The sequence below is a fragment of the Homo sapiens genome, chromosome X (assembly GCF_000001405.40).
Source record: "Homo sapiens chromosome X, GRCh38.p14 Primary Assembly".
Lineage (NCBI taxonomy): Eukaryota > Metazoa > Chordata > Mammalia > Primates > Hominidae > Homo > Homo sapiens.
The window spans coordinates 154,159,136-154,182,581 of record NC_000023.11 but is presented as its reverse complement, the minus strand read 5'-3'; the positions used below and the strand labels follow the sequence as shown (position 1 = coordinate 154,182,581).

The 23,446-nt window shown below is 49.5% G+C and overlaps 1 pseudogene; it reads left to right on the top strand.

The window, feature by feature from the left end:
* TEX28P2 (TEX28 pseudogene 2) lies at positions 2,427 to 23,375 on the top strand (annotated as a pseudogene).

Sequence of the window (23,446 nt, the reverse complement as noted above, 5' to 3'; positions counted from 1 at the left end):
CTTCACCTTAAAAGCTCCCAAATCCTACACCATCTGATCTCTTAATTGGGCCTGGGACTTAGACCTCCTCCTCCCACCCCTTGCTTCCTTGCTCCTGAGGCGAGCCCCCGGGGGCGGCTCAGAGGGATTTGCTGGAAACCTGTAATCCCAGCTACTGGGAGGTCGAGGCAGGAGAATCGCTTGAATCTGGGAGGCGGAGGTTGCAGTGAGCTGAGATGGCGCCACTGAACTCTAGCCTGGGCAACAGACCAAGACTCTGTCTAAAAAAAAGTGGCTGGGCACAGTGGCACACGCCTGTAATCCCAGCACTTTGGGAGGCCAAGGCGGGTAGATCTCCTGAGGTCAGGAGTTCCCGACCAGCCTGACTAACATGGTGAAACCCCGTTTCTACTAAATAAAAAACAATTAGCTGGGCTTAGTGGCAAATACCTGTACTCCCAGCTACTTGGGAGGCTGAGACAGGAGAATCGCTTGTACCTGGGAGGTCGAGGTTGCGGTGAGCCAAGATCGAGCCATTGCACTCCAGCCTGGGCAACAAGAGCAAAACTCTGTCTCAAGAAAAAAAATTTAACAGGCCACCTAATTGCGATTAAAAAAAAACCAAAACCCTGAATCTGTTTAGATTCCCACTTGCAGGGTATGTGACATCACCTTCTGCCACATTCTCGCCAGCCCTGGACATTGTTAGGCTTTTTAATTTTTGGCGTTCTGGTGGATGAGAAAATAGTATTTAATTGTTGCTTTTCGCTTACTATTCCCGGATCACCTTGCAATTACATGTTTTATTATACGTTTACTGTCTTTTGTTTTTCGTCGTCTGAGATGTCCGTGGCTACCCTTTAATGTCTTTATATTGGGTTATTTGCTCTTAGTTTACTGATTTGCAGTTCTTTATATATTGTGTTGATTAGCCCTTTATCTATCAGATATGTTTCAAGCCTTTTTTTTTCTTGTTTGCTTTTATTTATTTATTTTTTGAGATGGGGTCTCAGTCTGCCACCCTGGCTGGAGGGCAGTGGTGCGATCACGGCAGCCTCGACATCCCCGGGATCAAGCGATCCTCCCGTCTCAGCGTCCTGGGTAGCTGGGACTACAGGTGTGCACCACCACTCCAGGATAATTGTTGTATTAATTTTTTTTTTAATAGAGACGGGGTTTCGCCATGTTGCCCAGGCTGGTCTTGACCTCCTGAGCTCAAGAGATCCACCCACCTTGGCTTCCAAAGTGCTGGGATTACAGGCATGAGCCAGCACACCCAGCCCTTGTTTTATTTTCTCCCCCTTTCTTTCTTTCTTTTTTGTTTTTGTTTTGATTAATCAAGTCCCATTTTTTTCTCCTCTTGGTTATTTGGATGTTATGTACATATGTAGCTTCTTTTCTAGTGATTACTTTTTTTTTTTTTTTGAGACAATCTCACTCTTGTCAGTCAGGCTGGAGTGCAGTGGCGCAGTCTCGGCTCACTGCAACCTCCGTCTCCCCGGCTCAAGCAATTCTCCTGCCTCAGCCTCCCCAGTAGCTGGGATTACAGGTGTGTGCCACCATGCCCGGCTAATTTTTGTATTTTTAGTAGGGACAGTGTTTCGCAGTGTTGACCATGATGGTCTCAAACTCCTGACCTCAAGTGATCCACCCGCCTTGGCTTCCCAAAGTGCTGGGATTACAGCTGTGAGCCACCACGCCCGGCCCGGCCCCCCCCCCCCGCTCTTTTTTTTTTGAGACAAGGTCTCACTCTGTCACCCAGGTTGGAGGGCAGTAGCACAGTCACAGGTCACTGCAGCCTCTACTTGCTGGGCACAAGTAATCCTCCTGCCTCAGCATCCTGAGTAGCTGGGACCACAGGTGCACACCACTGCCCTGGCAAGACTTGCTTTTTAAACAGTTGTTGAATTCTTACATTTGTCAGTGGTGTACTGAACTCCTTCATGTCTAAAAATGTCTTTAGTCTAACCCCACAGTTGACAGTTGGGGTGTAGAATTTTAGGCTGGGAAATCATTTTTCCCTCAGAATTTCGAAAGCAGCACTTCATTGTCTTTTTTTTTTTTTTTTTTTTTTTTTTTTGGGACAGAGTCTTGCTCTGTCGCCCAGGCTGGAGTACAGGGGAGTGATCCTCGGCTCACTGCAACCTCTTGGGTTCAAGCGATTCTCTTGCCTCAGCCTCCCGAGTAGCTGGGATTACAGGCGCCCACCACAATGCTGGCTAATTTTTGTATTTTTAGTAGAGACAGAGTTTCCTCATGTTGGCCAGCCTGGTCTCAAACTCTTGACTTCAAGTGATCCGCCTGCCTGGGCTTCCCAGAGTGCTGAGATTACAGGTGTGAGCCACCGTGCCCGGCCAGCACTTCATTGTCTTCTAGTTCCCCATGCTGTTGCTGAAGTCTGAAGCCATTCTGACTTCTGATTCTTTGAATGTGACCTATTTTTTTCTCTCTGACAGTTATTCTCTCAGTGTATCGAAGATATCAGTCAACTATCTTCTGGATTGCATTGATGCTATTGAGAAGGCAGCCTGCAGTCTAAAAGTCATGGTTTTAAAGGTAATCAGCTTTTTTTCCTCTGGCTGCTTTTAACATCTTGTGTCGGCCGCGGGCGGTGGCTCATGCTTGTAATCCCAGCACTTTGGGAGGCCGAGGTGGGCGGATCATTTGAGGTCAGGAGTTCCAGACCAGCCTGGCCAACATGGTGAAACACTGTCTCTACTAAAAATACAAAAATTAGCTGGGCATGGTGGCGGGCGCCTGTAGTACCAGCTACTTGGGAGGCTGACGCAGGAGAATCGCTTGAACCCGGGAGGCAGAGGTTGCAGTGAGCCGAGATCACGCCACTGTACTCCAGCCTGGGCGACAAGAGCGAAACACTGTTTCAAAAAAAAAAAAAAAAAAAAAATCTCGTGTCTAGGTGTGGACCTATTTCTGTCTTCCCTGCTTAGGATTTATTGGGCTTCTTGAATTTGTGAATTTGTGTCTTTCTTCAGTTCTGGAAAGTTCTTAGGGAGTTATCTCTTAAAATGTTGCTGCTGTGGCCGGTCGTAGTGGCTCATGCCTGTAATCCCAGCACTTTGGGAGGCCGAGGTGGGTGGGTCACCTGATGTTGAGAGTTCGAGAACAGTCTTGCCAACATGATGAAACCCCATCTCTACTAAAAATACAAAAGAATTAGCTAGCTGTGATGGCACGCGCCTGTAGTCCCAGCTACTCGGGAGGCTGAGGCACGAGAAGTGCTTGAACCCGGGCAGCAGAGGTCGGCCGTGAGCCGAGATTGTGCCACGGCACTCCGCCTAGGCAACAGAGTGTGACTCCATTTCAATTTAAAAAAAAAAGAAGAAAAATATGTATATATTGCTGCTGCTTCATTCTGTCTGTCTTCTCTCTCTGGTGTGACAATTGGATTTTTGTTAGACCTACTCATGCTACCTTCCATGTCTTCTATTTTTCAAGTTTTCTATTTTTTTGTGCCTCTGTGCTGCATTCTGGATACTTTTTTTTCTTTCTTTCTTTTCTCTTTCTCTCTCTCTCTCTCTCTCTCTCTCTCTCTTTCTTTCTTGGGATGGAGTTTTGCTCTTGTTGCCCAGGTTGGAGTGCAGTGGCGTGATCTCGGCTCACTGCAACCTCTGCCTCCTGGGTTCAAGCCATTCTCCTGCCTCAGCCTCCCAAGTAGCTGGGATTACAGGTGCCCACCACCATGCCCAGTTAATTTTTTGTATTTTTTAGTAGAGACAGGGTTTCACCATGTTGGTCAGGTTAGCCTCAAACTCCTGACGTCAGGTGATCCACCCGCCTTGGCCTCCCAAAATGCTGGGATTACAGGCGTGTGAGCCACCGCGCCCGGCCTGGATACTTTCTTTAGCTCCTCTGTACAATTTACCAACAGTCTCTCCAGCCATATCAAATCTGCCATTAAATCCATCAATTGAACATATTATTATTTATTATTTATTTATTTTTTGAGACGGAGTCTCACTCTACCACCCAGGCTGGAGTGCAGTGGCACGATCTCAGCTCACTGCAACTTCTGCACCCCGGGTTCAAGCGGTTCTCCTGCCTCAGCCTCCCGAGTAGCTGGGACTACAGGCGTGTGCCACCACGCCTGGCTAATTTTGTATTTCTAGTAGAGATGGGGTTTCTCTGTGTTGGTCAGGCTGGTCTTGAACTCCCGACCTCAGGTGATCCGCCCGCCTCGGCCTCCCAAAGTGCTGGAAGTACAGGTGTGAACCACTGTGCCAGGCATTTTTTTTTTTTTTTTTGTATTTTGTATAGACGGGGTTTCACCATGTTGGCCAGACTGGTCTTGACCTCCTGACCTCCGCCCGCCTCGGCCTCCCAAAGTGCTGGGATTACAGGCATGAGCCACCACACCTGGCCTATATTGAACATTTAAATAGTTTGAAAACTGTGAAATCTGGCATATGTATATAAAGGTGCAGAAAACATTGATGTATGTTTTAAGAAGTAACGATAAGGTGAACACACATTTAACCACTACTCAGGCCAGGCACCCCAGCCTCCACAGTCACCCCAGTCATAATCCCCTTCTCCCGCTCTAGTGGGAACCACCATCCTGGGGTTTCTGTTGCCAACATCCATGCTGCTCTTTAGCTTTCCTGCCTGTGTAGTCATCCCTACACAATATTGTTTAGTTTTGCCTGCTCTTGGAATTTATGTAAATGGAACCATATATAGTATGGATTTTCTGTCTGGTTTCTTTTGTTCAACATTATGCTTGTGAAATGCATTCATGTTTTTCAAGGCTGTAGTTCATTCTCATTGCTGTACAGTAGTATGTTGTTGCATATATTACAGTTTACTTACACTTTCTGGGCAGGTGGTTTGTTGCTAGTTGTTGGATATTGAGAACATCAGTGTACTTGCCTCCTGGGAATATCGCCTATGAATGCAGTTGCTGGATCATTTGGTAGGTATATCTTCAACTTTGTGATACTGTCAAGTGGTTTTCTAAGGTGGCTGTAGTACAAATTTGCTTCCCGCCAGTAATGATTGAGAGTTCCTGTTGCGCTATATCCTTGCCAACTCTTATTGTTGTTAGTCTGTCTGAGTTTGACCAATCTACTGGGTACATAGTGGTATCACTTTGCATTTTAAAAATTGAGGTATAGGCCAGATGCAGTGGCTCACACCGGTAATCCCAGCACTCTTTGGGAGGCCGAGGCGGGAGGATCACTTGAGGTCAGGAGTTGGAAACCAGCCTGGTCAACATGGTGAAACCCTGTCTCTACTAATAATACACGAATTAGCTGGGTGTGGTGATGCACACCTGTAATCCCAGCTACTCGGGAGGCTGAGCCATGAGAATTGCTTAAACCCGGGAGGCGAAGGTTGTAGTGAGCCGAGATTGCACCACTGCACTCCAGCCTGGGTGACAGAGTGAGACTCCGTCTCAAAAAACAAAAAAGTAGAAACGGAACAGAGGCTGCACCTGAGCTGCCCCCCACCTCCCTCTCCTAGCTCCTTGCTCTGGTGGGCTGGGTTCCAGCTATGCTGCTCTTGCCATCTTTATTTTAGAGGTAAGAAAACTGAGCCTCAGAGCAGTTTATTAACTTGCTCAAGGTCTCAGAGTGGTAGAGCCAGGATTTGAACTGGGCTCTTCGTCAAAGGCAATGTTAATCCCCTCACCATGTGAGAGACTCATTCTTTTGTGTTACAGTAGAATTTTCTGCCGTAGACTGTCAGCTGTATGAGATCAAGGAATGTATCTGGCTTCTGTACCACGTGGTAGGCACTCAGAGAAAGTATGTGTTGAATGAATGATTGGATGAATGAATGAACCTGTTAGGAGGCAAATCTCTCTGCCTAACCCTTCCTGTCTCCCTGGGAGTAGCAATACAGCAAGCTGTAAGAGTTGACGGAAATAAGCTTATTCCATACTTTACAAGAACAGTTCTTTATAAATGAGACCCACAATTGGTAATTTTTGGAAGAGAAAATAGGAGTGCAGTGCAAAAACAGGCAGATGTAGAAGGGAGTCTGGCCACCTGTGGGTCTTAGTGAGGCACACATGTAGAGCAAGGAGTCAGACGCTGAAAAGGAGGGGAGAGGGGCCCTGAAGATGAGCATCACCTCCTCAGTCTGTGTCGGGCCCATCTTGAATGCACAAATCTTGCGTGTGTAAGTATCCATGCATATGTGGAAGTGTTTTATGGAGTCATAACGTGTCCAATTCTCCCACACTTTGCGGCTCACAGAGCACCGTATTGTGATTTCTTGTTTCCCAACGTAGGCGGAACACACCAGGAGCCCCAGCGCAACCCTCCCCTCCAATGTGCCTTCATGCCGGTCCCTGTCATCCAGCGAAGACGGCCCCAGTGGCCCTTCCAGCCTCGCAGATGGAGGCCTAGCCCACAACTTACAGGATAGTGTCAGGCACCGCATCCTCTACCTCTCAGAGCAGCTGAGAGTGGAGAAGGCCAGTCGGGATGGCAACACTGTGAGCTACCTCAAGCTGGTATCCAAAGCAGACCGGCACCAGGTGCCGCACATCCAGCAGGCCTTTGAGAAGGTGAACCAGCGCGCCTCTGCCACCATCGCCCAGATCGAGCACAGGCTCCACCAGTGTCACCAGCAGCTCCAGGAGCTGGAGGAAGGCTGCAGGCCCGAGGGCTTACTGCTGATGGCAGAAAGCGACCCAGCCAACTGCGAGCCACCCAGTGAGAAGGCCCTGCTTTCAGAGCCCCCCGAGCCAGGTGGGGAAGACGGGCCGGTCAACCTGCCTCATGCCAGCAGGCCCTTCATCTTGGAGAGTCGCTTCCAGAGCTTACAGCAGGGGACGTGCTTAGAGACAGAGGATGTGGCCCAGCAACAAAACCTGCTGTTGCAGAAGGTAAAGGCAGAGCTGGAAGAAGCCAAGAGGTTCCACATCAGCCTCCAGGAGTCCTATCACAGCCTAAAGGAGAGGTCTCTGACTGACCTGCAGCTGTTGCTGGAGTCCCTTCAGGAGGAGAAGTGTAGGTGAGGCCTTGGCTCTGGGGACTGGAAGCAGAGGAGGAACCGCTCCCAGGAGCCACCTATGGGAGGGTGAAAGGGAGCCAGGACAGGAGCCTGGAGAGCCAGGGTGAGGGGCCAGTTGGAAGAGCAGGTCCATGCTTCTTTTAGCGACTGGGCCCTGCAGTGGGGCGAGCCAGCCCTCTCCCTGCAGTCCCACACCTGCCTTGACCCTTGCTAGCGAAAATGCTCCAGCTTGGCAGCCCCTGCCGGGTGGTTGCAGCGGCATAGCGGCTGGCCCTGACCCTGTGGTGGCAGGGGACAACATGGGGGTGGCAAGAGTCCGGTAGACACCTGGCACTAGTTAGGGAGGTGGCGTCCTTTGGTCCCAGTCGGCTGGGAAGGTGGGAGTCAGGACCGGAGTCGCCTCGCCAGCTCTGGTCTCTTCACATGTGCTCCTAGCTGAGCTGGGGCACAGGCCGGGTCTCAGATACTTATTTCAAAAATGACTGCCTTCTGGTGAATGCTTTCTCCGCACCGTGCAGTAGCTCGATTTTCTTTTTCTTTTTTTTCTTTTGAGATGGAGTCTCACTCTGTCGCCAGACTGGAGTGCAGTGGCACGATCTCGGCCCACTGCAACCTCCACCTCCCGGGTTCAAGCGATTCTCCTGCCTCAGCCTCCCGAGTAGCTGGGAATACAGGCGTGCACCAGCACATCCGGCTATTTTTTGTATTTTTAGTACAGGCGGGGTTTCACCATGTTGACCAGGATGGTCTCAATCTATTGACCTCGTGATCCGCCTGCCTCAGCCTCCCAGAGTGCCGGGATTACTGGTGTGAGCCACCTCACCCTGCCCTAGCTCGATTTTCTTTCCCTCTAAGATAAGGCTAGGGCCTACCAATTGGAGGAAAAAAAAAAAAAAAAAAAAAAAGGCAAACCCAATCTCTCAACGGATTCTCTCCATTCCTATTGGGACCGTTCTCTGGGTTTCCATGGGCCCTCAGGGGGTGCCACATTCTGTCCCCCTCGCTGCAGTCTGTGGCTAATTAACGCCAGTCCCTCCAGCGTCCTGGCTAGGGAGGCAGCGATTCCCTTAGGTGAGCCAAGATTCTCAGCATTTGCATGAAAAGAAGAACTCCGCAGTCCTTTTAGTGCCTGATGCAGGGGAAGCGGCGTGTGGGAATCATCCTCTTTAGTTTCCCCAGGGAAATCTTGCCAGCGTTTACATGGCCTAAGAATCTGTTAAAGGACAATCAAAGAATATTACAGGGCAACCACTGTCAATGAGATGACTAGTCAGAGTCACAGGCGTCTCTTGCAGATTATTTTCATAGGACATGGCAACCAAATCTAAAATCTTGGGAGCATCAAAGACCCTTTTGTGAAAATCACACTTACCCGGTCAGCTTTCTATTAAGCAACAGCAGAACTTGGTGGCAGTTACAAACTTCCCCGTATGTTTCCAAGCCACAGGGGCCAATGAGAATGCTGTGCTCAGGTAAACTCTTAACCCCTCTCAAATCCGAGTCTTTCGCCCGCTCTTGATACAGCGGTGACTACCGGGGAGCAGGGCAATACCTCTGTCTCTCCCCCTCTCAGACTTTTGCTGCAAATTCTAGAAGCCTGCACTTCTGACCCGGTACCCCCCATTGGACTGTGACATGGGATGTCTGGTTGTTTGCTGCAGCAGCGAGCCTACCCTTACTAATGTTCATCGTGAGCAGAAAAGCAGGTCTACAGGGCCCAAGCAGGTCTACAGGAGGAGAAAGGGCTGCTGATGATTTTTCACTGTTGTCACGGGCTCGTAACTGAGCTGGGGCACCAGGTTAAGCAGCCTTGTTCTTTGGCCCTCAGACGCCTACTTTATGGTTGGGGAAGCAGAGTCTCACGGAGGCACAAGCAGGCTACGTGGCTGCTAAGTGCGGACCTGAGAGCATTTCACCACACCCTGGCTGTGTGGCTAAGTTAGATGCAGGGGACACAGGAGTTCATGGCATTTTAAAAACATATACTTCCGTAAAATCTTCTTCAAAACTTTTACATGATCTGGACACAGAAGTGTTTCAACCAGCCAGGCTCCCTGTGACTGTTGCGTCCCCTCTGGTGCATCACAAACTGAGAATCCATACTGCAAGTCCTGTGCTGTTTATCACAGTTAAATCCGTTTGCTTTCAGGAGGGCTGTTGTGGTTTTTATCATTATGGTTTCTTTTTAATTTGGTCTCGGCATGTCTCTACTGAGAGTGGCCATAGCCGAGATACCCAGTTTCTAGGAGATCCCTGACCCGTGGGAAAGTTAGGTTCGGATGTGTGTGTCAGGGGAGCCACAGTGAGGAGGCAGACGAAAATGCATGAAACAGCAGAAATGGGCTGGGCGTGGGGGCTCACGCCTGTAATCCTAGCACTTTGGGAGGTTGAGGTGGGCAGACTGCTTGAGCTCAGGAGTTTGAGACCAGCCTGGGCAACATAGTGAGACCCGGTATCTACAAAAACATCAAAAAATTAGCTGGGCGTGATGGCGCGTGCCTGTAGTCACAGCTACTCAGGAGGCTGAGCGGGAGCGGGGATCCCTTGAGCCCGGGAGGTTGAGGCTGCAGTGAGTCATGATTGCACCACTGCACTCCATTCTGGGTGACAGAGCAAGACCCTGTGTCAAAAAAAAAAAAAAAAAAAAAGAAATGTATGACTCAGATCGAAGAGATGTTAGGTGTGCTGATGGGAGGCAGAGGGGAAGTCTGGAGGCAGCAGGGAGCTGATTGAGCTCATCAGCTGTGCAACAGCGAAGCCCAGAACGGAAGGGCGGGGAAGCTTCCGGGGCTGTGCCTGTATTAAGGTCACAGGGTGTGAAGTGATCCCACAGGCTTTCCTGCGGGGGTTGTGGATTGGCTGGTTTAAAGAAAACATGCACGAGGAGGAAACTGATTTACATGACTCTGGTGTTGAGCATTAGGTCTTATCGTGGTCAGCAGCCGTGGGATGTGTTGGGTTTTGGGTCAGTGAGGCGAGGACCACGTGGGCTATGTCGCAAACAATCACATGACAGGGAGGGAGGGGTGTTATCTAGGGCAAAGGTGACAGGGTACAACTGCTAAAGTTGGATGCTGAGGCAGCAACTGTATTAAACGCATTTATGACAAGGGCTTACTTAAAAAAATTGATGTAGAATTCACATAATTTCACGTAATGTGAAATTAACCATTTGGAAGCATGTAATTCAGTGCATTAAGTACATCTGCAGTGTGGTTCAACCATCACCTCTGTCCGGTTGTCTAACATTCTCATCACCCCAGAAGGAGACCTCCAGACTCACTACACGGTCACTCCTAGCCTCGGCTCCAGGCGTTCCCTAATCTGCTTTCTGTCTCCGTGGGTTTGCCTCTTCTGGACTTTTCATATAAATGGGACCATACGATATGTGGGCTTTTGTGTCTAGCTCCTTTCACTGTTTTCAAGGTTCACTAATGTTGTAGCACGTATCAGTACTTCATTCTCTTGACGGCTGACTAATATTCCAGTGCATGGGTAGACCACATTTTGTTTATCTGTCCATCAGTGGATGGAGATTTGAGTTGTTTCCACCTTTTGGCTATTGTGAGAAGCCCTGCGCTGAACACTCAGATACATGCCAGTTGTTTGAACACCAGTTTTCAATTCTTTGGGGTCTATAATCAGGAGTAGAATTGCTGGACCCCGTGGTGACTCCAGGTGTAGCGTTTAGAGGAGTCTTCCCACAGCAGCCGCGCAGCTCCATCTTCCCACCAGCAATGCAGAAGGCTTCCAGTTGCCTCACATCCTTGCCAACATTTGTTGTTATCCTTTTTTTTTTTTTCCAACAGATGTAACTGTGAAGTGGTATCTCATTATGAGGGCTGGCTTTCTTTTTTATTTTTCCTGAGTCTTTGGATAGGCAAAAGTTCTTTCTTTCTTTCTTTCTTTCTTCTTTTTCTTTTTCTCTCTTTCTTTCCATCTCTCTCTCTCTTTCTTTCTTTTTCTTTCTCTCTTTCTCTTTCTTCCTTTCTCTCTGTCTCTCTCTCTCTCTCTCTATCTCTCTTTCTTTCTTTCTTTTTCTTCAGGGTCTCTGTTGCCCAGGCTGCATGCAGTCATAGTTCACTACAGCCTTGAACTCCCGGGCTCAAGCGATCTTCCTGCCTCAGCCTCCCGAGTAGCTGGGAGTACAAAGCATGTGCCACCATGCCTGGCTAACTTTTTAAAAATTATTATTATTTGTAGAGATGGGATCTTGCTATGTTGCCCAGGCTGGTCTTGAACACCTGGCCACGGCCTCCCCAAGTACTGGGGTTACAGATGTGAGCCACTGTGCCTGGACAGTTCTTACTTTTTAATGCATTTTTTAATTGATTGTGGTAAAAAAAAAAAAACCCACAATATATTCTTTTTGATTCTGCGACGTGCAGGGTCTCTATCACAGCAACAATTAGACTCAGGAGGCTTGGGGCTGGCCCTGGGGTCTCCTCCTTCATGAGGTCTGGGTTTGTAGGTCCTTGCAGAGGACGTTCCTGGGTCCTGGAAGGACTGTGACTGCTTCCGCTGGAGTTGCTTGAGGCCCCTGGTAACTCTCCTCTCTGTGTGCTGAGGAGAAGCACGGGCGTCGCGAACTTGATGATTCTGGATGGAAGGGTCTTTGCCAAGCTTCCCTTTCTTTCTTGTGGAAATAGGAGGAGCTTCAGATCTCCGAGAAGATGCACAGTGAGCGGCCTACCTCCTCAGCACAAGCCAGTCTCCTGGGGGACCAGAAGGCCCCGGTCCCTCAGTTTCTTCGTGGGTCAGGAGGAAAGAAGGCTTGAGAAACTCAGAAAATGTTCATTGGTAGAAGAGATGGCACCCCAGGAAGGCATGGGGAGCCTTCAAGTAAAAGTCTCGACTGGCCAGGTCTCATCTGGGCACCTTGCATGCAGAGTTGCAGGAGGCCCCCTCTAGCCTCCTAATGAGCCAGGGGGCTCTGGGAGGGTCTTGGGGGTCCTTCCCCATCTCTTACAGGATGCGCAGCTGACTTCTGCTTGATGGTGAAAGGCAGTCAGGTTTCAGTCTTGGCCCCGTAGACAGGGCATGGACAAGTCCTGGAGTTGGGGGTATGGTGCCAGCAAAACCATCTTTACTCTCTGGGGTCCATAGCCAGTCCCAGCCTGCCCAGCCCCACCCTCCTCCTTCACCTTTGTAGCCCGAGTGGTCAATGCCTGGGGTAGATGGGTTGCTGGGACATCTTTGTTCTTTGTTGGATGAGTAAAATGGTCCTGGGAGAAAACCCGACTGTGAGGAGCACATTGCTTCTTTTTTTTGTCTTTTTTATGAGATGGAGTCTCACTCTGTCCCCCAGGCTGGAGTGCAGTGGCACGATCTCGGCCCACTGCAACCTCCACCTCCCGGGTTCAAGCGATTCTCCTGCCTCAGCCTCCCGAGTAGCTGGGATTACAGGCACACGCCAGCATGCCTGGCTACTTTTTGTATTTTTCAGTAGAGATGGGGTTTCGCCATGTTGACCAGGGGTCTCGAACTCCTGACCTGAAGCGATCCACCCGCCTCGGCCTCCCAAAGTGCTGGAGTTACAGGTGTGAGCCACCACACCTGGCTGGAGGACATTGCTTCTTGCCCCATTTCTAGTTCCCTAGACCTGCCTTGGCATCAACTCATTGAAGGCTCCACTTGGTGACAAGGAACCGGCTTATTTGGAAACAGGGTCGTTGCGGACGTGATGAGTTAGATCTGGATGAGGTCATTCTGCAGAGGGGTGGGCCCTAATGCAGTGTGACCTGTGTCCTGACAGAAAGGGGAGACGGAGACACGGACACACCCAGAGGGAGAGCGCCGTGTGGAGACAGAGGCTGAGGCCGACCTGCCGTGGCAGAAGCCAAGGAAGCCCGCAGGTGGGCAGCAGAGCAGAAGCTGGGACAGAGGCCCCGAGTGGAGGCGCCTTCTCGGTCCTCGGCAGGAGCCCGCCCAGCCTGGGCCTTCCTCTCGGACTGCTGGACCCCCAGCCAGGAGAGAGGCCATCTCTGCTGGGAAAGCCACTCAAAGTTTGTAACGCTTTGTGATGGCAGCCAGAGGAAACTCCCACACTCAGCTTGTCCTTTAGGCTCTGCTCTGATGTCCTCTCCTCAAAGGGACTTCCCAGGCTACCACGTTCAAATGGCCTCTTCTTTTATTCTTTTGGAAGCGGGGTTTTTTGAAGTAAAGTTTTTGTTTTTTTGTTTTTTTTAGATGGAGTTTTGCTCTTGTTGCCCAGACCGGAGTGCAATGGCGCAATCTCGGCTCACTGCAACCTCCGCCTCCTGAGTTCAAGCGATTCTCCTGCGTCAGCCTCCCGAGTAGCTGGGATTACAGGCAGGCACCACCACGCCTGGCTAATTTTGTAATTTTAGTAGAGATGGGGTTTCTCCATGTTGGTCAGGCTGGTCTCGAACTCCTGTCCTCAGGCGATCCACCTGCCTCGGCCTCCCAAAGTGCTGGGATTACAGGAGTGAGCCACCGCGCCTGGCCTTTTTGAGGTAAATTTTATGCAGTGAAATTGCATTTAAGTTTAGGCATACAGTTTAACGAGTTTTGACAAAGGTTTACACCTGGGCAGCTAAAATCCCAATAAAGAGCTTTGCCACCACCCCAGAAAGTACCCTCATACCCTCTTCCAGTGAATGCCCGTCTCCCATAATTGGCCACTGTTCCGGTTTCTGTCACTCTAGCTTCATCTCCTTTTGAACTTCACGTAAGTGGAATCGCACGGCACGCAGTGCTTTGTGTCTGGCGGCTTTCGCTCCGTGGAATTGTTTTGAGATCCACCCAAGCTGTGTGAAGTGAGTAGCTCATGGCTTCGTATTGCTTGGCAGCCTTCCATTGCATGGAGACGCCGCAGGTTGCTTATGCCCTGGTCCGCTGCCAGTTGGGGCGACTGAATAAAGCTGCTATGAACGTTCTCGCACAAGTCTTTCTGTGAACATATGCTTTCATATATGGAATTGCTAGATAACAGGGAAGTGTTATGTGTCTTAGTCCCACTTTCTGTTGCTGTAACAGAGTACCGCAGGCTGGGTGGTTTATAAAGAAAGGAAGTTCAATGTCAAGGCGCTGGCAGCTGGTGAGGACCTTTGTACGGCATCATCCTATGGCGGAAGGCAGAAGGGCAAGAGGGCGTGAGAGAGCGAGCGGGGGCCAAACTTTCATGATAACAATATTAATATTAATCGCCTCTTACCAGTCCCACCCCTTAACACCATCACATGGCCATTAAATTTCAACACGAGTTTTGGGGGGGACATGTACCCCATAGCAGTATGCTTAACTTTTTAAGAAAGAGGAAGGCCGGGCGCGGTGGCTCACCCCTGTAATCCCAGCACTTTGGGAGGCTGAGGCAGGCGGATCACCTGAGGTCGGGAGTTCGAGACCAGCCTGAACAACATGGAGTAAACCCTGTCTCTACTAAAAATACAAAATTAGCCCGGCGTGGTGGCACATGCCTGTAATCCCAGCTACTCGGGAGGCTGACGCAGGAGAATCGCTTGAACTCAGGAGGCGGAGGTTGCGGTGAGCCGAGATCGTGCCATTGCACTCCAGCCTGGGCAACGAGTGAAACTCCATCTCAAAAAAAAAAAAAAGAGGAACTGTTTTCCGACATGGCTATACCATTTTACAGTCCCGCTAGGAGTGTATAAGAGTTCCAGTTGCCAACGTTTGGCAAGATCAGTCTTTTAAATGTCAGCCTCTTAAGTTCAGCCACAACTTGGTGAAATTAGACTCCAAAATTTCATCACCCTAGCCCATGTTCTCTCGACCTTGGCACTGTCGACATTTTGGACCGAATGATTCTCTGTTGTGCGGGGCTGTCCTGTACATTCTAGGATGATGAGCAGCATCCCTGGTCTCCACTTACTTGATGCCAGTGGTGCCGTGAATTAATTGATGCTGCCGTGACAAATTGCCCCCAACTTCATGGCTTAAAATAATAGAAAGTTATTCTCTCGCAGTCCTGGAGGCTAGAAGGCCGAAATCCGTTTCACTGGGCTGAAATCAGGCGAGGAGGACACACACTCATTGGAGGCTCTAGGGGACAAACTGATCTTTGCCTCTTCCAGTTTCTGGTGGCTGCCAAATTCCTTAATTTTGTGGCCACATCATTCCTGTCCTGAAGGCCAGCATCTTCAAACCTGTGTTCTGTCTTCACATGACATTCTCGTCTGTGTGTGTCTAATGTCCTTCTGCCTCTCTCTCATACATGTGATTGCATTTAGGGCCACCAGGATAATCTAGGATAATCTTTGCATCTCAATACCCTTAAACTCACCACTTCTGGAAAGCCCCCTTTTTTGGTCATAGAAGGTAACATTCACAGTTTCCAAGGATTATGACACAGATATCTTTTGCGGAGGGGCTTTTTGTTTTTTTCTTTTTTAGACAGAGTCTCTCTCTGTCACCCAGGCTGGAGTGCAGTGGCACGATCTTGGCTCACTGCAACCTCCGCCTCCTGGGTTCAAGCAATTCTCCTGCCTCAGCCTCCCAAGTAGCTGGGACTACAAGCGCGTGCCACCACACCCAGCTAATTTTTTTGTATTTTTCATAGAGACGGGGTTTCACCCTGTTGCTCAGGGTGTTCTTGAACTCCTGAGCCCAGGTAATCTGCCCACCACAGCCTCACAAAGTGCTGGGGTTACAGATGTGAGCCACCGTGCCCAGCCTAGGGGGGCAATTTTAGCCTACCGTGCCCCACCTATTTGTAACAACCAGAAATGTCTGTCCAGAGATTGCCAAATGTCCCTTGTTTGGGGAGGGGGGGGCCGGCAAATTGCCCCTGGTTGAGAACCAGTATCCTAGCCCATGAGACTAGTGGGTGTGTGACCCTGCCTCTGACGATTAATGATGCTGAACCCCTTTTCATGTGCTTATCAGCCAATAAGTCTTTGGCTTGTTTTCAACTTGGATTGTCTTTTTATTGTTGAGTTGTCAGAGCTCTTTATATACTCCGGACCAGTCTTTGTCACTCCCCTACTTTTTCCTTTCTCGCAGCACTCACCGCCTAAACTGCTCTCCCTTGTGTAGGTATTCATTTGTGTTGTATTGTTCTCGTCAAAATATCAGCACATTCAGGTCGGCCACTGTGTCTGAGTGACTGCCCAAAGACATGTTGGCACATGATGGCTGTTCTGTGAGTACCTGTTTCATGGATCAGTCTGGATGCTGCTTTTCCTCCCTTCCTGAAGGGACCCAGCTCGCCCTCTGGGCTGCCTCCCTCCTCCATGTATGTCAGAACTCTATCTGCTGTGTCTTGGGAACATCAGGGCAGGGCCAGGAGGGCTGATTCTGGATTTAGGCCTGGCCCAGCCTCCTCTCTGCAAGGTATTTACTGAATGACCTTGGACGAGGTGCTTCAAGTTTGCAATCCTCAGTTTCCACATCTGTAACATGGAGGTAAAAATGATCCCACTATTGTTGGAACTGTTGTGAGAATTAATTAATACTTGTGTGTAAGCCCCAAGTAGATGCTGATGGAACTGAATTTACAATTCCTTTCTGCTTCCTATGTGCAAACTAAGTCCTTGAAAGATCGTAAAGAAAAATGGGGCCAGATGTGGTGGCTTATGGCTGTAATCCCAGTGCTTTGGGAGGTCGAGGCAGGAGGATTGCTTCAGCCCAGGAGTCTGAGACCAGCTTGGGTAACAAAGTGAGACCATATCTCTGCAAAAAATTTTAAAAGTGTTAACCGGACTTGGTGGCACATGCCTGTAGTCCCTGCTACATGGGAGGCTGAGACAGGAGGATCGCTTGAGCCCGAGAGTTTTATGTTGCAGTGAACTATGATTGTGCCACTGTGCTCCAGCCTGGGTGATAGAGGACAGAGTGAGAACTTGTCTCAAAAAAAAAAACAGAAAGAGAGAGAGAGAGAGAGGAGAGAGAGAGAGAGGAGAGAGAGAGAGAGAGAGAGAGAGAGAGGGAGAGAGAGAGAGAGAGAGAGAGAGAGAGAGAGAGAGAGAGAAAGAAAAAGAGAAAGAAAGAAAGAAAGAAAGAAAGAAAGAAAGAAAGTTGTTAATGGCTTTTTTTTTTTTTTGAGGTGGTGTCTTGCTCTGCTGCCCAGGCTGGAGGGAGTGCAGTGGCTTGATCTCAGCTCACTGCAACCTCTGCGTCCCGGATTCAAGTGATTCTCCTGTCTCAGCCTCCTGAGTAGCTGAGATTACAGGCATGCACCACCACGCCCAGCTAATTTTTGCATATTTTAGTAGAGACGGGGTTTCACCGTGTTGGCCAGGATGGTCTCGATCTCCTGACCTCGTGATCCGCCCGCCTCGGCCTCCCAAAGTGCTGGGATTACAGGCATGACTGCAGCCGGCCAATGTCTTGGAACTATTAATAGCCATGGTGGTTGCACAACACCACATGTGCTAAATGCCGCTGAATTGTTCACCTTAAAATAATTCATTTTATGTTACATGAAATTTACCTCAATAAAAATTGAATAAAAAAGAAGCTACTCAGGTGCCGAGTAGGCAAAACTTTCACTCTTGCTTTGTATTTCTGGCTGTATCCACAAGTGGGCAGTCGTGAAATTTTCTTATAGCCTCCTGTCATATTGAAAACGCCCGGAAGTGAATATGCCAGGTCTCCATGTTTTTCTTTCCCTCCTGGACACGAGGTCCTTGGGGGCATCCAGACCCTAGCTCCTCTGTCCCAAGACTGTTCTGGTATGTTTCGCTTTCAGACGAGGCTTGGAGATAACAGGCTATGGTTCCTAGAGGCTTCAGTGTTGCTCTGTGACCTCTCAGCCCCAGGGATCCAGCCTCGGGCTGACTTTCCTCAAGGTATCTGCTTAGGGCTTTGTTGCAGGCTGGGGTCGTGTTAACTTCCATTTTTTCCCCGACTTCTCCTCCATGTCACAGCATCCTGCATCTTGGGATCTCTGAGGAGGTCTGACCTAAGGTCTGATCTGCTCTCTGAACTGGTTCCTCTCATCCCTATTGCGTTGAAGCAAAGCACAGACATTATATCAGTTCATCTGTAAATATTTCAGTGTGAACCTGAAATATGGATCATTTTGTTAACATAGCCTAAATACCATACCAAAAATGTTTTAAAACAAGTCCACAATGTTAAATATGCAGTCACTGTCACCTTATTGCCTCACACATGCCATCATTCCTTTTTATTTCTGAAGGAATTCTTTTTTTTTTTTTTGTGAGACAGAGCCTCACCCTGTCACCCAGGTTGGAGTGCAATGGTGAGATCTCGGCTCGCTGCAACCTCTGCCTCCCAGGTTCAAGCGATTCCCCTGCCTCAGCCTCCTCAGTAGCTGGGATTACAGGCATGTGCCACCACGCCCGGCTAGTTTTTGTATTTTTAGTAGAGACGGGGTTTCACCATGTTGGCCAGGCTGGTCTTGAACTCCTGACCTCGTGATCTGCCTGCCTCGGCCTCCCAAAGTGCTGGGATTACAGGCGTGAGCCACCACACCCGGCCCTGAAGGATATTTTTTGCTGGACATAGAATTCTAAGTTGGCACTTAATTTTTGGAAATAATAAGCATTTTGAACAAATCATTCCCTTCTGACTTCCATGGTTTCTGTTGAAAAGGCAGCTGCCAGTCTTCTTGTTGCTCCTCGGATCACAGTTTTGTTTTCCTCAGGCTCCTTTTAAGATCTTTTGTTTTTCTTTGTTGTTTAGTGGTTTTGCTATGATGATGTTTGGCGTGATTTTCTTTCTCTCTTCTTTTTTGTGCCGCTGACTCTCCCCTTGGTGTGATTTTCTTTGCATTCATCCTGCTTGGGCTTCGCATTGCTACTTGGGTTTATGGCTTGATGTCTTTTGTCAGTTTTGGACGTTTTCAGCCATTATATTTTCAAATAGTGACTCTGCCCTAGTCTCTCATTTTTCCCCTTCTAAGGCCCCAGTTACATGTATGTTCAACCTTTCCACTGTATCCCTACATCCTCTGGGTTCCTGTGTGAGCCGTCCTGGCGAATTTCCTCCTGCTTTCGCTTCTGTTTTGTTGGCTCTTCCCCCAGCTCCCCAGGGCCCCTTGCTTTGGCACATTTGCTCAGAGTGAGCTCATCCATCCTGGCCACATGCACCGATTGCACCTGGGCTATTGACCCCTCCTACAGCTGTTTCTCCGTCTCAGACTTTTCCTCCAAGTTGTGGGCCATGATTAGGCTCTAGCTCAATTTGCCAAAAGCAAATTCTCAGAAATGACCAAGAATATACTCTTTCTGGCTGGGCCCAATGGCTCACACCTGTAATCCCAGCACTTTGGGAGGCCGAGGCAGGCGGGTCACCTGAGGTCAGGAGTTGGAGACCAGCCTGGCCAACATGGTGAAACCCTGTCTCTACTAAAAATACAAAAAATTAGCCCGGCATGATGGCGCATACCTGTAGTCCCAGCTACTCAGGAGGCCGAGGCAGGAAAATCACTTGAACCCGGGAGGCGGAGGTTGCAGCAAGCCAAGATCGTGCCACTGCACTCCAGCCTGGGCAAATAGAAGGAGATCCGTCTCAAAAAAAAAAAACAACAACACTATTTTGAAAAAAACAATAAAGTTTAGAACACTTTGTGTTGGAGAGGGTGGTCTTAACACCTTCGGTCTGTCTTGAGGGTGTCTGGGTTGACTGGTCATCGTTTTGTGTTCATAAGAGCATTCTCCAGAGTTGTCCATTTGCTTCTGTGACTGTAGGAGGTGGAGAGAGGGGGGTCCTTGACCAAGGAAGAGAAGGGAGCGCGGCTGCCAGAGGGCCAGGAGATGGGGGCCAGAGAGAAGGGGAGACTGAGAGAATATCCTTATGAAAATATTGTTTACTGACATCTGAAGAGACTCTTCAAGAATGCACTGAAGAATATCTTCATGTATCTTTACCAATACATTGATGAAGATTGACTTCATATTCCTGAGGACAGTTAAAATCTTGAATGTTCTCACAGCTAGATCATTCATGTAAATGGAAAGACAGTAATGAGGAATCTATTTTCGGGGTGACCATCCTGCCGACCCACTCCCCCTCTCTGTGAGCAGTGGCCTAGTCCATGTTGTCCACCGACTCTCTTCTTAACAGGGACCTGGGGCAGAGACAAATGGAATATTCCTTGAAATGCTGCGAGGAACCAGCTTTTGACAAATTGGCTTTCAACAAATGAGCTGTCAGCTTATTCAGTGCCCGGGGGATTTCTCCGTGTGGGTGTTGGTCAAGTCCTTGGAGTGGGACCGAATAGAAGTCGTCACTGTTTTCCCCGTCTCTGTCAGCACCACCGTTTAGACCTCCTGCACCTGAGGCCTGCCGCCACCCTCCTGGGCCTCCTGGGGCGGCAGCCCTGCCAGTCTATGGGTTCCATCACGCTCTGGTGCCTTCTCTCTTCTACGTAAGCGGTGGTGCCAGAGCCCCCTCACTGGCCCCCTGGCCTCTGTCCTTCTGGCCCGTTCTTTGTGGTGCCAAAAGGGGAACTTCATAGAAGTTTTTAAATTATGAAGTATTTCAAGCAAAGGGAAAATGTAAGGATAACATAATTAACAGCCCCAGCTTTCTGAAATCTTAACATTTGCCATATTCACTTCAAATCTTATTTTTTTAGGAAATAAAACTTTAAAATATTCTGTTGAAGCCCTCATTACCCCTTTCCAGCACCATCTCCCTTCCTTGCTATTCTGGCCTTGCTATACTGGCCTCACCATTCTCATTTGGGTGCTTATCTTTTCCATGCATGGTTTTATACTTTTACTACTTATATAATTATATACACAACAGGTAGTGATTGTTTTCTTTTAGAGATAGGGTCTCACTCTGCTGCCCAGGCTGGAGTGCAGTGGCGTGATGGCAGCTCACTGCAGCCTCGAACTCCCGGACTCAAGAGGTCCTCCTGCCTCAGCCTCCAGAGTAGCTGAGACTACAGGCACGTGCCACCACACCCAGATAATTAAAAATTTTTTTTGTAGAGACAGGGTCTCACTGTGTTGCCCAGGCTGGTGTTGAATTCCTCCTGGCCTCAAACAATCCCCTTGCCTTGGCCTCCCAAAGCGCTGGGATTGCAACTGTGAACCACTGCGCCTGGCCTGCTTGTGGTTTTTTAACAGCTCTATTGAGATATAATTTACATATTATAAAATGCACCATTTTAACTACATTTCAATGGTTTTTAGTAAATTTACTGAGTTGCGCAACTATTGCCATGATTCACTTTTCTCTTTTTGTTTAAATAACGGCTCTATTGAGATATAATTCACATCCCATAAAATTCACCAATTTAAAGTGTACAATTCACTGGTTTTTCGTATAGTCACAGAGTTGTTCAACCATCACCACTATCTAATTCCACAATATTCTCTTTTTTTTTTTTTTGAGACGGAGTCTCGCTCTGTCGCCCAGGCTGGAGTGCAGTGGTGTGAACTCTGCTCACCGCAAGCTCCGCCTCCCGGGTTCACGCCATTCTCCTGCCTCCGCCTCCCGAGTAGCTGGGACTACAGGCGTCCGCCACCACGCCCGGCTAATTTTTTTTGTATTTTTAGTACAGACGGGGTTTCACCGTGTCAGCCAGGATGGTCTCGATCTCCTGACCTCATGATCCGCCCGCCTTGGCCTCCCAAAGTGCTGGGATTACAGGCGTGAGCCACCGTGCCCGGTCCTACAATATTTTCACCAGCCCCAAAGCAACCCTGTACTCATTAGCAGCCACTGCCCATCCCCCACCCCCAGCCCCTGGCACCCACTAATCTGCTTTCTGTCTCTATGGATTTGCCTATTCTGGACATTTCGTAACTAATGGAATTGTACTGGAATCTGTGGTCTTTTGTGGCTTTTCAATCCTTATAGTCACCATGTTTCTATAGAGTAACTGCAGGCTAAACTGCAGGCTAGACTTCGTGCTCAACACTGGTCCTGGGGGATTTGCGGAACTGAAGAGCACACACAGATAGTTCACACTGTCATTTCTACAACTTCTAGTCTGTGGCTATTTTTGTAAAGCTGTTACAAAAGAGTAACTACATATAAAATATATATGAATATTGGTGTGCGTGTGGCTGGTGTGTGTTTGGGGTGTTCCCAGGCAGACCTGGAGTGGGAGGCAGGCTTTCCCTAGAGCCTGGGGAGCGGGGAGGAAGGCAGAAGCTGAACCCGAATCTAGTCTAGGTCAGGACCGCTCGCTGTTGGCATGAGCTCTGGATGAGGTACTGAAGGAATCTCACTTTCTCTTTTGCTCCCAAGGCAAGCATTGATGGAAGAACAGGTGAATGGTCGCCTGCAGGGACAGCTGAATGAGATTTACAACCTCAAACACAATCTGGCCTGCAGCGAAGAGAGAATGGCCTATCTATCCTATGAGAGAGCCAAGGAAATATGGGTGAGAACCTCCTGGGGGAGCCTTGCAAGAAGACTGGAGGGATGAGCGAATCTATTCTGATACCCCCAAACCAAAGCAAGACACGGGTCCTCGAGCTGCCCCCTCCTGAGGGTTCGATGGCCACACACATTTGTTTCAGAGCTAGCAGCATCTGATCTTTACACTCACGCTCCGCTTCCCACCATCTGGCTTAGCTGCTTTTGCCACTCTGGTGCTGCAGTGCTCACCCGTGAGCCTCTGACTCGGGAGATCTGGGGTGGAGCTGCTTCTGCTGCGGCTGCAGGTGTAGGGAGCGCCCTCTCAGAACCCCTCCTTAGACCTGGCTTCCCTCTCCTCACTTTTCCATTCCCATAGCGCCCACCCCCGTCCCTGGGTAGCTGTGTCTTGACCAGGTCCTCAGCTTCGGGAGACAGTGGATGGGGGAGTGCAGCCGGGTCAGATGAAGCTTTCCCTGTTGCTGGAGAGCCTGCGCCCTCCCCTCTGCCCTGAATGTGCTCTAGGCTCTCTGCTTCCCTCCTCGAATACCCACTCCACAGTGCTTTCTGCTCACCCCTAAGAACTCAATAAACGACCACAACTCTGTGCTGACTTCTGGTGCGTGCATTTTCGTCTCCTGCAGGAGATCACGGAGACCTTCAAGAGCCGAATATCCAAGCTGGAGATGCTACAGCAAGTCACCCAACTGGAGGCAGCGGAGCACCTCCAAAGCCGTCCCCCGCAGATGTTGTTCAAGTTCCTGAGTCCGCGCCTCTCACTGGCAACCGTCCTCTTGGTCTTTGTCTCCACCTTGTGTGCCTGCCCCTCGTCACTGATCAGCTCACGCCTGTGCACCTGCACCATGCTGATGCTGATCGGGCTTGGGGTCCTGGCCTGGCAGAGGTGGCGCGCCATCCCTGCCACAGACTGGCAGGAATGGGTCCCCTCCAGGTGTAGACTGTACTCCAAGGACTCTGGGCCTCCAGCAGATGGACCTTAAGGGGCCAGGAGGGCCACCTGCCTTAGCTTGCTAGCTCCCTCCCTCCTCCTGGGTGCTGAGGGCATCCAGCAAGCCCCTCCACAGCTCTTGCTTGCCGATTATGTAACCACCAGCCTGGTGAAATGGATATAGACGCCCACCTGCCTCACACTTCTGTTTTGCCAGGATCCTTTCACGCCATCGGTAGACATGAGGCTCGGGAAAACTTAAAGTCTATGAAG